This window comes from Homo sapiens, chromosome X (genome assembly GCF_000001405.40).
Source record: "Homo sapiens chromosome X, GRCh38.p14 Primary Assembly".
In the NCBI taxonomy this organism is placed as follows: Eukaryota; Metazoa; Chordata; class Mammalia; order Primates; family Hominidae; genus Homo; species Homo sapiens.
This window is the reverse complement of record NC_000023.11, coordinates 77,511,486-77,529,036: the sequence shown is the minus strand read 5'-3', so window position 1 is coordinate 77,529,036 and position 17,551 is coordinate 77,511,486. Positions and strand designations below refer to the sequence as shown.

The window sequence follows — 17,551 nt, the reverse complement described above, 5'->3', positions numbered from 1 at the left end:
TCTTCTGCTATTGATAGTTTGCATTGTGAAGTTCTCATGTTGTGTTTTTCAGCTCCATCAGGTTGGTTATGTTCCTCTCTAAACTGGCTATTCTTGCTATCAGCTCCTGTATTGTTTTATCGTGATTCTTAGCTTCTTTGCCTTGGGTTAAAACATGCTTTTTTTTAGCCCAGCGATATTTGTTATTACTCACCTTCTGAAGCGTATTTCTGTTATTTCATCCTTCTCAGCCTCAGCCCAGTTCTGTGCTCTTGCTGGAGAGGTGTTGCAGTCATTTGGAGAAGAAAAGGCACTCTGGCTTTTTGAGTTTTCAGCATTTATGCATTGATTGTTTCTCATCTTTGTGGGCTTATCTACCTTTGATCCTTGAGGTTGCTAACCTTTGAATGGGTTTTTTTTCGGGGCCTTTTTTTGTTGTTGTTGACATTGCTGCTGTTGTTTTCTGTTTGTTTGTTTTTCTTTTAACAATCACGCCACCCTACTGTAGGGCTCCTGTGGTTAGCTGGGGGTTTGCTCCAGACCCTAGTTTCCTCGGCTTCTCCAGCACTTGCAGGAGGCGGCTGGCAACCTGCACTGGAAGATCTCACCCAGTCAGGAGGGATGGGATCAGGGACCCACCCAATGAAGCAGTCTGGTTGCTTCTTGGTAGAGCAGGTGTGTTGCACTGGGGTGGACCCTTTTCTTCCTCTGTACCACCTGTATTCTCCATAACCAGCAAGCTGAAATGGCTGATTTAACGGAAGCACAGAGATGGCCGCTGGCCCTCCCCTGGGGAGCTCCCTCCCATGGAGAGATCAGATCTCTGTCTGCAGGAGTGGGTCGGGACCTGTCAAAGAAGCAGTCTGGCTACAATCTGGCAAGGCAGCTGCGCTGTGCCTTGTGCGGGGAAGGAGGGGGTGCTCCTTGTCTGGGTGGTCTGCACTCTCCACAACGGGGAGGCTGGAACAACTGAGTCCCCAGAAACCACAGAGATATCAGCCGCCCCCCACCCCCCCACCACCCCCAGCTCCCTCCCAGCGAGAGATCAGATCTCTGACCCTGCATGGGAAGTCCTGCTCAGTTTGGAGTGGGTCCGTCTGGTTGAAGAAGCAGTCTGGCCCCCTTATCTGGCAAGGCCACTGCACTGCGCTGTGGGCGGCCCCTCCTCCTCTGGGCCGTGTCCACTCTTCACAGCTGGCAGGCTGTATTGGCTATTTCCCCTGAATTGCAGAGATGGCGACCGCCCCTCCCGCTGGAACTTGGTCTTGTCTCAGGCGGACTTCAGCCCTCTGCTGTTGGCTAGCTGAGATTCCAAGCCAGTGGGTCTTAGCCTGTGAGGTGCGATGGAAATGGGGCCTGCCGAGCCATGCTGCTTGGCTCCCTGTATTCAGACCCCTTCCTAGGGATGTATATGGATGGATTTTATGCCTTGGCGGGGATCCCGGGGCAGGAGCATGCAGAACTCCCAGATCTCTGTGTGCGCCTGAGCTGCTGTTTTGCTGAGACTCCACACAGCTCTGTGTATCAGACCCAAGGTCCTGGTGGAATGGGTTCACAACAGGATCTCCTGCTCCGCATGTTGCAAAGATCCATGGGAGAAGCGTGGTGGCTTCCTGAGCGGGTTGCACAATCACTCACTGCCTCCCCTGGCTGGGGGTGGGGGTTCCTTTTGCTCCACGTGGCTCCTGGATGGGCCGTAGCCCTTCTCCTTGCTCTCCATGCTTTTTGCCTATTCAGTCCCAATGTGAGAACCTGGATATTTCATTTGAAGGTATTGGATTCATTCACCCCTTTTCATGCCTCTCTGTGAGTGCCACAGACCACAGCTGCTTCTCATCAGCCATCTTGCCCTTTGTCCAGTTCCATTTTTATGCAAAGGTGTGTGTGTGTCAATGTGTGGAGGAATAAAATAAAAAATGGTACTGGTAGTTATTTCCTGGTTTTGTAATTGGATGTTAGTATTGTTTGCATTTCTTTGTTTTGTTCGGTTCTTTGAAAAGAGGATTATAGTAGCCAGGATGGAGGTAATGTTTTAGGCAAAAAATCTGAAACTTTTTAAGATAGAAAACAAACAAATTCACATGTACTTTTCCTGTGACTTACATTGGCATTTCAGTTGACTGTAAGTCAAAAGGAAAGTTATTGCATCATTAGAGGCTGAACCTTCACCATAACCTGACCTTAGACAGTCATGTCTGACTTGATAGGATAGGTTTTAAATCTGGAATTAGTGGGGTGAATACGTTAAAGGGGTTTAGAAATGGCGTTTCTCAAAATAAGTGTCTCCTGAAGATGAAAATGGTAAAATAGTGCGTGGTATTATTTTCAGGCATAGTATAAGCCTGAACTGGCCTTTCACAAGTTTGTCTTGAGACTTGTCATTGTTTCAGTTTTTATGTTTTCTTTTATTAAATTAACATGCTTGTTTTAAAAAGTTCAAAAAGTACAAAAGTACTTTTAGGTTCAGTGGCTCATGCCTGAAATCCCAGCACTTTGGGAAGCCGAGGCAGGTGGATCACTTGAGGTCAGGAGTTCGAGACCAGCCTGGCCAGCTTGGTGAAACTCCATCTCTACTAAAAATACAGAAATTAGCCATGCGTGGTAGCGAGTACCTGTAGTTCCAGCTACTCAGGAGGCTGAGGCAGGAGAATCGCTGGAACCTGGGAGGTGGAGGTTGCAGTGAGCACTGTATTCCAGCCTGGGCAATAGTGAGACTCTGTCTCTAAATAAATAAATAAAAGTTAAAAAGTGCTAAAAGTAAGAAAATAGACATAAGTTCCCCCTCCCCTGGAATCTTTCATTGAATTACCTTTTTTTTTCTAAGGGAATAGTTCTGGGAAGTAGAGGAACTGTATCTCAATAAAACAGACATTCTTTGTGGTGTGATAGAATCATCACTGCATAGGAGCCAGGAAATTTAGTTTCCAGTCCCAGGTAGTCCTTAGCTGTATAATCGGAAAAAGTTACTTTGCCTCTTTGGGCCTCAATTTCTACTAATTCTATGATGACACAGTTGGACTTAGAAATTTTAGGATGCTAAGGACTGACTTAATAAAGCTTTCCTGGTATCTCAGACATTTTTTAAAAGGCTGTATATGAGTTTGTGTATATGTGTATGTGCACATGCATTTCTGGAAAGGCTTCCCCTCCAACCATTAAATATATAATTAATGTTATAAATTGTGTTGTTTATAATTGAGAAATAAATACCACACTTGACAATGTCTATTTCCAAAGAATTGGGTATTTTTGTGCTTTTGTTTATTCCTGGTATTTTCATATCATCCTGTTACACACGTGAGCAGAGAATGTGTGTATCATCCATATTTAATTTACAGTCATAGCTAGACTAAGTTATTATCCAATGTTATTGAAAGAATCAGTAGCACAGATAGAAATGAATTAGTTCCTAGTATACAGTTTTCTTGGCCTTTCTCTTAACCAGTTTGCTTTCTTAGAGAAATGAACTGATCTGACTATGATTAAGATCATTTATTGCTAGACAGAAGTAAAATTAGAGATTATCCATAGAACATTTTAATCTTGTAATTTATTTGGTGTGTTGTAGAACACCTGACTTTTCTCATTGTATTTGGTAAATGTGTTAAAAATGTTAAGTCAGTGTTATCTGGTTTTATTTTATCTCTTGAGTCATGTTTGGCATGTATGTGTTGGGGGGGTGGGCATAGGAGTTACACATTTAAGAAAGCCCTATCTTTTAGTAGAATAAATTAATGCAGATTGGCCTGTCTTCCTGCCTGCCTGGTCAGTAACAGTGGACTTTGGAGATTGATCTAGTGATGATAAACCTATTGTATGTGGCATAAGCCAGAGAAGTCAGCTTCGATAGCAAGTTTCTACATTGGCGTGAGAGAGAAGCATTTAGTTAACATTTCAAAGTAACTAAGCCTGTTAGCATCCATGTATTCTATCAGTAGACTTTATTGAGTCCTGTCATTTGTATGGTCTTTTATTGTTTTTTGTTTTCAACAAAGGAAATAGCACACACATACATCTCAAAATGGATTATACCTGTTGTAATCTCAGTATTTTGGGAGATCAAGGTGGGAGGATCACTTGAGGCCAGGAATTTGAAACCAGCCTGGGAAACATACTGAGATCCTATGTCTACAAAATTTTTAAAATTAGCCAGGTACAGTGGTATGCACCTGTAGTCCTAGCTACTCGGGAGGCTGAGGCAGGAGAATCACTTGAGCCCAGGAGTTCAAGGCAGCAGTGATCTGTGATCAAACCACTGCACTCCAACTTGGGTGACAACATGGGACCCTATCTTAAAAAAAAAAAAAAAAGAATTATAAAGTCTCTATTATGGTTGTATCTATTAAGAATATCAGTTCTGTTAAGAAAGGAAATAATTGTTTCAAATGTTTATTGGGGTAGCAAGATAAAAAGTTGTTTACAAGATATTAAATATCAGAATATTTGGAATTAGTGTCAGTATTTGCTATTATATAGAAAAAAAACCTGGGGCCTCATGATTTGAATTTTTCATCTTGAGTTATTTAATGCACATTTGAGTTCTTACCACTTTTTGGACCCTATACTCAAGGTGTGTAAAGGCATAATTATTTTCAAATGTGGGCTTTGTCTATGCAAAAATTTATGAGTGCATTAAGCATCACTAGGTGCAGATTAAATTTGAATTCAGTGTGCTGTATGTATACCTCCACTACTTTCATTTGATCAGAAATGCACAATTTAGAAAGTGTGTTCTAGGAAAACTTGTTAAAAGCTATGGAAAATCCTTCTGTAAAGTGAATTAATTTGCCTTTTATAGATCCAGGTTTTCATATGTGATTTCTTAATGAACAACTTGTGAATATTTTAAATTTATTAAAAGTAACATATCTGTAATTCACTTTAAACCCCCACCCCATCTATCTTTGTGTCTCACTCTCACAGTCATAATTAAACAGAGCAGGAGTTTAGTTGTTCTTACTGAGTATATAAATGATCCCAATTTTTAAGCTTTTAATTTTTTAATCTTAAAAGACTGGCTTAAGATACCATGATTTCTTTAAACTATATATACTATGATAATAAATTGAAAAATGTATATCAATTTAAATTTGACCCATGGGTCTTTACAGTGTAATTTAACATTTACATTCCTGCAGTTGGAATATAAGGGCTATATGTTTCAGTTAAACTCTCCTATAACTGTTTAGATTAATTTAGATTAGTTTTTTGTTAATATAGTGGTTGGCAGTTGAAATGATTGTGAAAATAAAGTTGTTTATGATGTATAAATAGGAGTAGCCTTGATTTCTAGCACAGGCATCCAATATAGTCACTAATTTAAGCAGACTTATGTTAGCATTTATCAACTCAGAATTAAGCACAAAATAAAATGCATATAAAAAATGTTAAGTTGGTGGAAAGACCTTGAAATCTGAAAAGTGGTAATTAAAAAACAATGGAATGCCTAAACCATACTGTATAAACATGAAAGTCTTACATAAGAGGCTGGTGTTACATGTTTTGCTGCTGTTTTTTAGGTAATCTGTCATATATATCAGAAATATATATAGCAATCAGGTTTTAGTTTCTAGTACAGTTGACCATAGAACTATGGAGATATTATACTGTCCAGAGGGGAAAAATAATTGTCTCTTATTTCAACCCCTCTAAACAGGATACCATACTTGCAGAGCTCCTTCAGATACATAAAGAACACATTGTAGGATACCATGAACATGATTCTCTTTTGGACCACAAAGAAGAAGAAGAGTTGACTGAAGAAGAAAGAAAAGCAGCTTGGGCTGAGTATGAAGCAGAGAAGAAGGTAGTTGATGCAAAATGTGTTTTTGTTTTTGTTATGTTAGTGATTTGAAAGAGCAATGAAGAAGAAAAGGGTCACATTTGAAACAGGTAATAATAATATAGTGGGTTTTAGGAACACATTCCCCAATTACAAGAATCTCTTTATGGGTTGGTTTCAGCTACCTTTAGTGGTAGAGTAGGAGGAGAAGACAGAAGAAAACAGTTTACACTTAAAGAGTAGTAATCCCATTTCTGCCTAGTATTTGTTGAATTGAGAAATGAGTGGGAAGCCATATATTTAGCATCACTAACCTCCCATCAGTACCCTCTCTGTAGTAACAAACATACAGGAGCTTAGTGTTTGGAGGTTGTAGTAAATGTAGCTTTGCATGTATACCATGAAATCTAAATTTTGGCTGAATATCAGAACACAAAAATATTTCATTATTAGACATTAATGCCATTTGCTCCAGCAGCAACTTTATTTAAGATCATTCTATGTCTGTTTTAAACATCAACCCACTTGAGCAAAAATGTGCCTGAGCATGGGAAACCTTATCCTAATACCTGAATCCTTTTCAAACTCCTAACTTATTGTACCAAACTTCTTTAACATTAGTGTGATGTTCAGAGTCTCATCAGAATTCTTTGAGTTGCCCCCATTCTGTGGGAATTATCAGAAAAAAAAAGTACACCTTTAGGGGTTAAAGCTTTCCTTGTAATAAGATCTTGGTTTCGGGTGAAAAGGGTGTTTTGTTTGTGTGTGGAAGAGTGTTAATAATTTCCTGGATCTGAGAATGTGGATTCTTTTCTAAACCAGTAGGTGATGTAGAATTTCAAGTTTTAAATCACAATGTGAAAAGTGCATAATTTTTTTGTTTTTAGGGACTGACCATGCGTTTCAACATACCAACTGGGACCAATTTACCCCCTGTCAGTTTCAACTCTCAAACTCCTTATATTCCTTTCAATTTGGGAGCCCTGTCAGCAATGAGTAATCAACAGCTGGAGGTGAGTTGTGAAGTACAAAAGTAGTTTGACATGAATTAAAGGCAATTTCAAGTGCCTTGTTGTTGAGGGTTCCCTATGCAGAAATATCACATTCTCCAAAAGATTACCCCTGAATAGACGAATAAATTTTTGTTTTATTTGTTGACCGTTTTGAACCAACATGATGTTGTAAAATGTGGTTTGTTCAGAGCACAAAGGAATCAGTCGGTGAATTAATGTAGTTTGAATTATTTTAATTAAGAAACAATAGGGCTGCTGACTCGCTTGGGAAATAGCACCTTCTTCAGTTATAAAATAGTTATAATAAATTGCTATCTTACTGTTTGAAAGTAAGATAAATATACTCATTAACTTCTATTCTAGTGCATTATAGATGCACAATTAAATATATAATGCCCAATATTATGAAATAAATGATTTAAAGCTAGAATCAATTGTAAATTAAATAGGAAAGACTGGGTTTTTATTATACCAATAATGACTTAATTGAATCTGAAACACATTATAAAATGTGCTTATGGATTCTTCTGCATTATTAAATTATTGGTGTGATAAAACTCAAACTTTTTTAATCTTCCTAACAAGACTCTTTGAGCATTGATATGGTTTACTCCACTTTATTGATACTGAATTTTGCTGTTCTCTTCAATTATTTAAAGAGTTTTAAAACCGACTGCTCTAAGTTGGCAAATGGAAGGATTCCCTATACTTTAACACTATGCTGTCTTTCTGCCTTATATAACTTATTTCTTGCATTCTTCTAGGACCTCATTAATCAAGGAAGAGAAAAAGTTGTAGAAGCAACAAACAGTGTGACAGCAGTGAGGATTCAACCTCTTGAGGATATAATTTCAGCTGTAGTAAGCTAATTGGCAATTGTCTTATTCCAACCTCCAATTTGTACCCTCCACCCCCTACTGCCATTTTTTTAAATTTTTAATTGTTCCTTCTTATAAATTGATTTGCAATAGTAAAATACTGGTAAAATGGATGGATAATGCCAAACCGTAACCCAGCAATTTTACATAGATGTTGGCACAAGAGAGAAATGGGTAAAATGTAAGAATTGAGAAATCAAACATGGAAATGTATGCATTGTTTATATAAACATTTTAATTACCAGTTGTACAAATTAAATCTAAATTATTGTTTCATTCCAGAGATAGCCAGCCCAGGTACAGCAGTGAACAACTTAGTACCCTGTTTTGCATCATGTTTTTCTTCAGAAAAGAATAAAGGAAAAGGGGGGTTTGAAACCTTGGGAAATCCCGAATATCTTAAAATACCTTAATTATTTTTCCTCAATTGTACAGTAATAAGGAGTAAATAGAAAATTTTTCTTTTAGTGGAAGGAGAACATGAATCTCTCAGAGGCCCAAGTACAGGCGTTAGCATTAAGTAGACAAGCCAGCCAGGAGCTTGATGTTAAACGAAGAGAAGCAATCTACAATGATGTATTGACAAAACAACAGATGGTAAGAATTCTGACGTCTGACTATTTCTAGGTTATGTTTAATTTTCTTGACTTTATAATAAGTTTGTATGACATCTACGTCAGTAATTATTCCTACTATGGAGGGATGGATAGTCATTGATAATTCTGGAAGAAATGTAAAAAACCCAGGAATGTCAAGTAAAAGTAATATATTTTGTTACAAAAATGCAACAGCTACCTAAATGGGAATCCTTGAAGTTTACATATGATCTAGTCCATATAATTTTATTTCTCATATATTCTGGACATCTACGTAGGAATTTTTGCCAGAGTTTTACCACATTTGCCAATTGTATTTTATTTAACTTTTAATTTTTGTGAGTATATAATAGGTATATATATTTATGGGGTACATAAGGTATATTGATACAGGTATACAGTGCATAATAATCACATCAGGGTAAAGGATATCTATCACCTCAAGCATTTATCCTTTCTTTGTGTTACAAACAATCCAGTTATACTCTTCTAGTTATTTTTAAATGTGCAATAAATTATTTTTGACTGTAGTCACCCTGTTGTGGTATCAAATACTAGATCTTATTCATTCTAACTATACTTTTGTACCTATTAACCATCCCCCATTACCCCACTCCCTGCTACCCTTCTCAGCCTCTGGTAACTACCATTCTACTCTCTTATCATCATGAGTTCAATTGTTTTAGTTTTTAGCTTCCAGAAATAAGTGAGAACATATGAACTTTGTCTTTCTATGCCTGGCTTATTTCACTTAACATAATGATCTCCAATTCTATGCATGCTATTGCAAATGGCAGTATCTCGTTCTTTTTTATGGCTGAATAGTACTCCATTGTATATATGTACCACATATTCTTTGTTTATTCATCTGTTGGTTGATACTTAGGTTGCTTCCAAATCTTAATGTTGTGAACAGTGCTACAATAAACATGAGAGTGCAGCTACCTCTTCAATATACTGATTTCCTTTCTTTTGGGTATAGGCCTAGCAGTGGGACTGGTGAATCATATAGTACCTCTGTTTTTAGTTTTCTGAGGAACCTCCAAACCGTTCTCCATAGTGCTTGTACTAATACACGTTACTAACAACAGTGTACACAAGTTCCCTTTTCTCCACATCCTCACCAATATTAGTTATTGCCTGTCTTTTGGATAAAGGCCATTTTAACTGGGGTAAGATGATATTTCATTATCTTTTTTGTTTGGTTGGTTGGTTTTGTAGAGACGGGGTCTCACTATATTTCCCAGGCTGGTCTCAAACTCTCGGGCTTAAACGATCCTCTGACCTCAGCCTCCCAAAGTGTTGGGATTACAGGCGTGAGTGACCATGCCCAGCCTCTCATTGTAGTGTTGATTTGCATTATCTAATGACTGATGATGTTGAGTGCCTTTTCCTATGCCTGTTTGCCATTTGTATGTCTTCTTTCGAGAAATATCTATTCAGATATTTTGCCCATTTTTAAATCTGATTATTAGATTTTTTTTCCTATGCAGTTGTTTGAGCTCCTTATATATTCTGGTTATTAATCCCTTGTCAGTTGGATAGCTTGCAAATATTTTCTCGCATTCTGTGGGTTGTCTCTTCGCCTTGTTGATTGTTTCCTTTGCTGTGCAGAAGCTTTTTAACTTAGTGGTATCCTGTTTGTCCATTTTTTATTTGGTTGCCTGTACTTGTGAGATATTACTCAAGAAATCTTTGCCAGTTCAATGTCCTGGACAGTTTGCCCAGTGTTTTTCTGTAGTAGATTCATAGTTTGAGGTCTCAGATTTAAGTCTTTAATCCATTTTGATTTGAATGTTGTATATGGCAAGAGCTTGGGGTCTTCTTTCATTGTTCTGCGTATGGATATCCAGCTTCCACAGCACCATTTATTAATGAGACTGTCCTTTCTTCAATGCATGTTCATGGCACCTGTGCAAAAAATGAGTTTACTGGTGTGTGGATTTGTTTCTGGGTTCTCACTTCTGTTCTCTTGGTCTGTGTGTCTGTTTTTATGCCAGTACCATGCTGTTTTGGTTACTGTAGCTCTGTAGTATCATTTGAAGTCAGGTAATGTGATTCCTCCAGTTTTGTTCTTTTTGCTCACTACAGCTTTGCCTATTGTGGGTCTTCTGTGGTTCCATGAAAAGTTCAGAATTTTTTTTTTGTTTCTGTGAAGAATGTCATTGGTATTTTGATAAGGATGCATTGTATCTATGGATTGCTTTGGGTAGTATGGGCATTTTAACAATATTAATTTATCCAATCCATGAACATGGAAGATCTTTTCATTTTTTTGTACCCTCTTCCATTTCTTTCATCAGCATTGTGTAGTTTTCATTGTAGACATCTTTCACTTCTTTGGTTAAGTTTATTCCTAGGTATTTAATTTTGACTGTGGCTACTGTAAATGGGATTACTTTCTCAATTTCTTTTTCAGATTATTCACTGCTGGCATTTAGAAATGCTGCTGATTTTGTATGCTGCCACTTTACTAAGTTTGTTTATCAGTTCTAAAATATTTTTGGTGGAGTCTTTAGGTTTTTCCAAATACCAGATCATAACATTTGCAAACAGGATAATTTGACTTCTTCTTTTCCAACTGGGATGCCCTTTATTTCTTTCTCTTGTCTGATTGCTCTAGCTATGACTTGCAGAACTATGTTGAATAACAGTGGTAAAAGCTGGCATCCTTGTTGTGTTCCAATTTTTAGAAGAAAGTCTTTCAGTTTTTCCCCATTGAGTACGATACTGGCTGTGAGTCTGTCAATATATGGCTTTTATTGTGTTGAGGTATGTTCCTTCTATAACCGTATTTTGAGGATTTATATCATGAAAGGATCTTGAATATTATCAGATGTTTTTTCAGCATCAGTTGAAATTATCATACAGTTTTTGTCCTTCATTCTGTTATTTGATGTATCACATTGATTGATTTGCATAGTTAAATCATCCTTGAAGCCCTTGGATAAATCCCACTTGGTCATGTTCAACAACACCTTTTTAATGTGGTGTTGAATTGTGTTTGCTATTATTTTGTTGAGAATTTTTGCATGAATGTTCATCTCAGATATTGCCCTGTAGTTTTCTTTTTTTGATGTGTTTGTCTGGTTTTGGTATTAAGGTGTTACTGGCCTTATAGAATGTGTTTGAAGTATTCCCTCCTCCTCTACTTGTCACAGCAGTTTGAGGAAGATTGGTATTAGTTCTTCTTTAAACGTTTGGTAAAATTCAGCAGTGAAGACATTGGTTTCCAGGCTTTTCTTTGCTGGAAGACTTTTTATTACAGCTTTAATCTCGTTACTTGTTACTGCTCTGTTCAGATTTTGGATTTCTTAATGTTTCAATCTTGGTAGATTGTATGAGTCTTGGAATTTATCCATTTCTTCTAGGTTTTCCAATTTTTTGCATGTAGTTTGTCATAGGAGCCTCTAATGATCCTTTGAATTTCTTTGGTAACAGTTTTAATATCTACTTTTTGATCTCTGATTTTATTTACTTGAATCTTCTCCTTTTTCTTAATCTGGCTAATGGTTTGTCAGTTTTGTTTATCTTCTCAAAAAACCAACTTTTTATTTATTTCTGTGCTGATCTTTATTATTTATTTTACTAATTTGGGGTTTTATTTTCTTTTGTTTTTCTAGTTCTTTAAGATGCATTGGTAGGTGTTTGTTTTTTTTTTCTTTTCTGATGCACGCACTTAGAGCTGTAAACTTTCCTCTTAGTAATGCTTTTGCTGTATCCCATAGGTTTTTGTATGTTGTGTTTCCTTTATCATTCGTTTTAAGAAGTTTTTCAGTTTTTTTCTTAATGTTTTCTTTGACCCACTGGTCATTCAGGAGCATATTGTTCAATTTTCATGTGTTTATATAGTTTCAAAAATTCCTCTTGTTATTGATTTCTAGTTTTATTCCATTGTGGTCAGAGAAGAAACTTGATATGATTTCATTTGTTTGAATGTTTTAAGACTTGTTTTGTGGCCTAATATATGGTCTTTCCTTGAGAATGATTTATGTGCCAAGGAAAAGAATGTATATTCTGTGACCATTGGATGAAATGTCCTGTAAATATCTATTTGGTCTATAGTGCAGAATAAGTCCGTTGGTTTTTTTTATTGATTTTCTGTCTGGATGATCTGTCCAATGTGTAAAGTTGAGGTGTCGAAGTCTCCAGCTATTATTATTTTGGGGTCTGTCTCTCTATTTAGCTCTAATAATATTTGCTTTTTATATCTGGTGCTCCAGTGTTGGGTGCACATATATTTACAATTGTTGTATCTTGTTGCTGAATTGACCCCTTTATCATTATATAATGACCATCGTTGTCTCTTTTTATATTTTTTGTCTTGAAATCTGTTTTGGCTGATGTAAGTATAGCTAGTCCTGCTCTTTTTTGGTTTCCATTTTCATGAAATATCTTTTTTCATCCCTTTATTTTCACTGTATATGTGTCTTTATAGGTACAATGTATTTCTTACAGGAAACAGATGGTTGGGTCTTTTTTAAAAATCCATTCAGACACTATATGTCTTGATTGGAGAGTTTAGTCCATTTATATTCACTGTTATTCTGTTTTTAAACTTTCATTTTAAGTTCATGGATACATGTGCAGGTTTGTTATATAGGTAAATCTGTGTCACGGGTTTGTTGTACAGATTATTTTGTCACCCAGGTATTAAGCCTAGCACCCATAAGTTATTTTTCCTGATCATCTCCCTCCTCTCAGCCTCCAACCTCTGGTCAGCCCCAGTGTCTGTTATTGCCCTCTATGTGTTCATGTGTTCTCATCATTTAGTTCCCACTTTTTAGTGAAAACATATGGTATTTGGTTTCCTGTTCCTGCATTAGTTTGCTAAGGATAATGGCCTCCAGCTCCATCCATGTTCCTGCAAAGGACATGATCTTGTTCTTATTATTAGGTTTATAGAAGATATTAATAAAATTAAATAAATAGATTGACAACAGTCTTGAAAATGTGTGCTGAGATCTGGGCTCAGCTTTACAAGCCGAGAATGAGAAAGTAGATTTTTGATCTCTGAGATTTCTAATAGTTGAGTCAGCTACTGTTGGAATGAGAAAAGCTCTAGTTGTCTATAACATGTTGAATTTGTCAGACTCTTTGTGATGAGCTGCGTTCAATAAACCAAATGCAGAGGCATTAGTAGCAGGCTATGGCTCTGCTAGCTGAGGTTTGGAAATCACAGGATGCAACGCCTCAATTTTTGCTGTGGAACTTGATAATGGGGCATTCCGTAATGAATGCCGTATGAGGGGACGTGAGTATGAGTAGGCAGAGGGCACATGTATCTAGAGCTTCAGTCACTGTAGGTATCAGGAAGAAAGGCACATTTAGAATACACCTTTACACACGTGGATTTTTTTTTTTCACCCCTCCTGAACTTTTTCTTTATTTTTATTTTTTATTTCCACATTTTCTTTATCCAGTCTACCATTGATAGGCATTTAGCTTTATTCCATGTTTTTGCTTTTGTGGATAGTGCTGCAATGAACATATACGTGTGTCATTATAATAGAACAATGTATGTTCCTTTGAATTTATACCCAGTAATAGGATTGCAGGGTTGAATGGTAGTTCTGTTTTTAGCTCTTTGAGGAACTACCACACTGCTTTCCACAATGGATGAACTAATTTACACTCCCACCAGCAGTGTATAAGCATTCCTTTTTCTCTACAACCTCACCAGCATCTTTTGACTTTTTAATAATGGCCATTCTGACTGGTGTAAGGTATCTCATTGTGGTTTTGATTTGCCTTTCTCTAATGATCAGTGATGTTCAGCTTTTTTTCATATGATTGTTGGCCACGTGTGTGTTTTCTTTTGCAAAGTGTCTGTTCATGTCCTTTGCCCACTTTTTAATGGGGTTGTTATTTTCTTCTATATTTCTTTAAGTTCCTTATAGATAATGGATATTAGTTGCTAGATGGATAGTTTGCAAAACTTTTCTGCAATTCTGTAGGTTGTCTCTCTACTCTGTTGATAGTTTCCTTTGCTGTGCAGAAGCTCTGCTGTGCAGAGTTTAGTTGGATCTCATTTGTCCATTTTTGCTTTTGTTGCAATTGCTTTTGGCATCTTCATCATGAAATCTTTGCCCATTCCTATATCCAGAATTATATTGCTTAGGTTGTCTTCCAGGGTTTTTATAGTTTTCGGGTTTACATTTAAGTATTGAATGCATCTTGAGTTGATATTTGTATATGGTGTGTAAGGAGGGGGTCCAGTTTCAATCTTCTCCCTGTGGCTAGCCAATTACCCCAGCACTGTTTATTGAGTAGGGAGTCCTTTTCCCATTACTTGTTTTTGTCAACTTTGTCAAAGATCAGATGGTTGTAGGTGTGTGGCCTTATTTCTGAGCTGTCTATTCAGTTCCATTGGTCTGTGTGTCTTTTTGTACCAGTACCACACTGTTTTGGTTACTGTAGCTCTGTAGTATAGTTTGAAGTTGTATAGCATAATGCCTCCAGCTTTGTTCATTTTGCTTACGATTGCCTTGGCTATTCAACCTTTTTTTTGTTGTTCCATATGAATTTTAAAATAGTTTTGTCTAGTTTATGAAGAATATCATTAGTAGTTTGATAGGAATAGCATTGAATGTATAAATTGCTTTGGGCAGTATGACCATTTCAACAATATTGATTCTTCCTATCCATGAGCATGGAATGTTTTTCCATTTGTTTTGACATCTCTAATTTCTTTTAGCAGTCTTTTGGAGTTCTCATTGTAGAGACCTTTTACCTCCCTGGTTAGCTGTATTCCTAGGTATTTTATTCTTTATTGTGGCAGTTGTGAATGGGATTGCATGCCTGATTTGCCTCTTTGCTTGACTTTTGTTGGTGTATAGGAATGCTACTGATTTTTGTACATTGATTTTGTACCCTGAGATATTGCTGAACTTGTTTATCAGCTTAAGAAGCATTTTGGGCCAAGACTAGAGTTTTCTAGATACAGAATCATGGCATCTGCATACTGTGATAGTTTGACTTTCTCTCTTCCTATTTGGATAACCTTTATTTATTTCTGTTTCCTGATTGCTCTGCCCAGGACTTCTAATACTATGTTGAATAGGAGTGGTGATAGAGGGCATCCTTGTCTTGTGCCAGTTTTCAAGATGAATACTTCCAGCTTTTGCCCATTCAGTATAATGTTGGCTGTGGGTCTCCTCCTGGCGGAATTCCAGAGGCCCGAGGCAAGAGCCAGTTGCTTCTTGCCACTTCAACTCACTCATTCCCCTGGAGTTCTTGTGGGCCAGGAATGAGTCCTGGTGTGCGGTAGCCCCATTCAGGGTTCCCAGCTTCCTCCTCCAACCAAGCTTCTGTTTCTTCCCTCCGCCCACTCTCATTGCCTTCTCTCTGAAGATCTGTTAGGAGTGTGCCAGTCATCCTTGTCTTTCGGTGGCAGCTTTTCCACCTTGCTGCATCTAGTCATCCATCTTGCCCAACCCCATTATTCTTTTTTTTTTTTTTTTTTTTTTTTTGAGACGGAGTCTCGCTCTGTCGCCCAGGCTGGAGTGCAGTGGCGCAATCTCAGCTCACTGCAAGCTCCGCCTCCCGGGTTCAGGCCATTCTCCTATCTTAGCCTCCTGAGTAGCTGGGACTACAGGTGCCCGCCACCACGCCCAGCTAATTTTTTGTATTTTTAGTAGAGACGGGGTTTCACCGTGTTAACCAGGATGGTCTCAGTCTCCTGACCTTGTGATCCTCCCGCCTCGGCCTCCCAAAGTGCTGGGGTTACAGGCGTGAGCCACTGTGCCCAGCCTCCAACCCCATTATTCTTGATAAGTTAGGACTTACTCCTGCCATTTTGTTATTTGTTTTCTGGTTGTTTTGTGATCCCTGTCTTCCTTCTTTTCTTCCTATCATCCTTTTAGTTAAAGCAATTTTCTGTGGTTGTATGTTTTAATTTCTTTTATTATTATTTTTTTGAGACGGAGTTTCACTGTGTTGCCCAGGCTGGAGTGCAGTGGCATGATCTCAGCTTACTGCAATCTCTGCCTTCCCGGGTTTGAGCGATTCTCCTGCCTCAGCCTCCTGAGTAGCTGGAATTATAAGCACCCGCCACCATGCGCAGCTAATTTTCACATTTTTACTAGAGACAGGGTTTCACCATGTTGGCCAGGCTGGTCTCGAACTACTGACCTCAGGTGATCCATCCACCTTGGCCTCCCAAAGCGCTGGGATCACAGGCCTGAGCCACCGCGCCCGGCATGATTTCTTGCTTATAGTTTTTTGTTTATCTGTTGTATGTTTGTTTTTTTGAAGTTACCATGAGGCTTGCAAATAATGTAATGCATCATTTTAAGCTGATGATAACACTGATTGCATAAACAAGCAAACAAAGTAACAAACAAGCAAAGAGAAAACTAATGTTCTATTGCCAGTGAGTTTTATACCTTCATGTAACTTTTCGTTGTTTGTTAACATCCTTTTCTTTCAGATTGAGAAACTCCCTTTAATATTTCTTGTAGGACAGGTTTGATATTGAAATTCCTCAGCTTCTGTTTGTGTGGGAAAGTCTTTATTTCTCCTTCACATTTGAAGCATATTTTCACCAGATATGATGTTCTAGGGTAAAAGTTTTTTGTTTGTTTGTTTGTTTGTTCCTTCACCCCTTTTAAATATCTCATGTCACTCTCTCCTGGGCTGTAAGTTTTCTACTGAAAAGTCTACTGCCAGATGTATTGGAGCTCCTTTGTATGTTATTTGTTTCCTTTCTCTTGCTGCATTTAGTATACTTTCTTTATCCTTGACCTTTGAGAGTTTGATTATTAAATGGTAGGAGGTAGTCTTCATTAGGTTAAATCTGCTTGGTGTTCCATAACCTTCTTTTTCTTGAATATTGATAGTTTTCTCTAGGCTTGGGGAATTCTCTGTTGTTGTCCCTTTGAATAAACTTTATACCCCTATCTGTCTCTCTGCCTCCTCTTTAAGGCCAATAACTCTTAGATTTGCCCATTTGAGGCTATTTTCTAGATCTTGTAGATGTGCTTCATTGTTTTTTGTTCTTTTTTCTTTTGTCTCCTCTGATGGTACATTTTCAAATAGCCTGTCTTCAAGCTTACTAATTCTTTCTTCTCCTTGATCGGTTCTGCTATTAAGAGACTCTTAATACATTCTTCAGTATGTCAATTGCATTTTTTGACTCCAGAATTTCTGCTTGATTCTTTTAAATTATTTCAATATCTTTGTGAAATTTATCTGATGTGATTATCAGTTTCTTCTCCATATTATCTTGAATTTCATTGAATTTCCTCAAGACAGCTCTTTTGAATTCTCTGTCACATATATTCACATGTATCTGTCTCTCTA

The 17,551-nt window shown here is 37.5% G+C and overlaps 1 protein-coding gene across 9 annotated transcripts in view; it reads left to right on the top strand.

Moving 5' to 3' along the window:
- ATRX (ATRX chromatin remodeler) overlaps window positions 1-17,551 on the top strand; it is a 281,337-nt gene that overhangs the window by 257,180 nt on the left and 6,606 nt on the right. For all 9 annotated transcript variants that reach the window (XM_005262156.5, XM_005262157.6, XM_006724666.5 and 6 more), the window contains 4 exons: window positions 5,636-5,785; window positions 6,649-6,774; window positions 7,539-7,634; window positions 8,121-8,249. In XM_005262156.5, coding sequence (XP_005262213.2) covers window positions 5,636-5,785; window positions 6,649-6,774; window positions 7,539-7,634; window positions 8,121-8,249 — 501 coding nt within the window. The remainder of the gene's footprint in view (window positions 1-5,635; window positions 5,786-6,648; window positions 6,775-7,538; window positions 7,635-8,120; window positions 8,250-17,551) is intronic.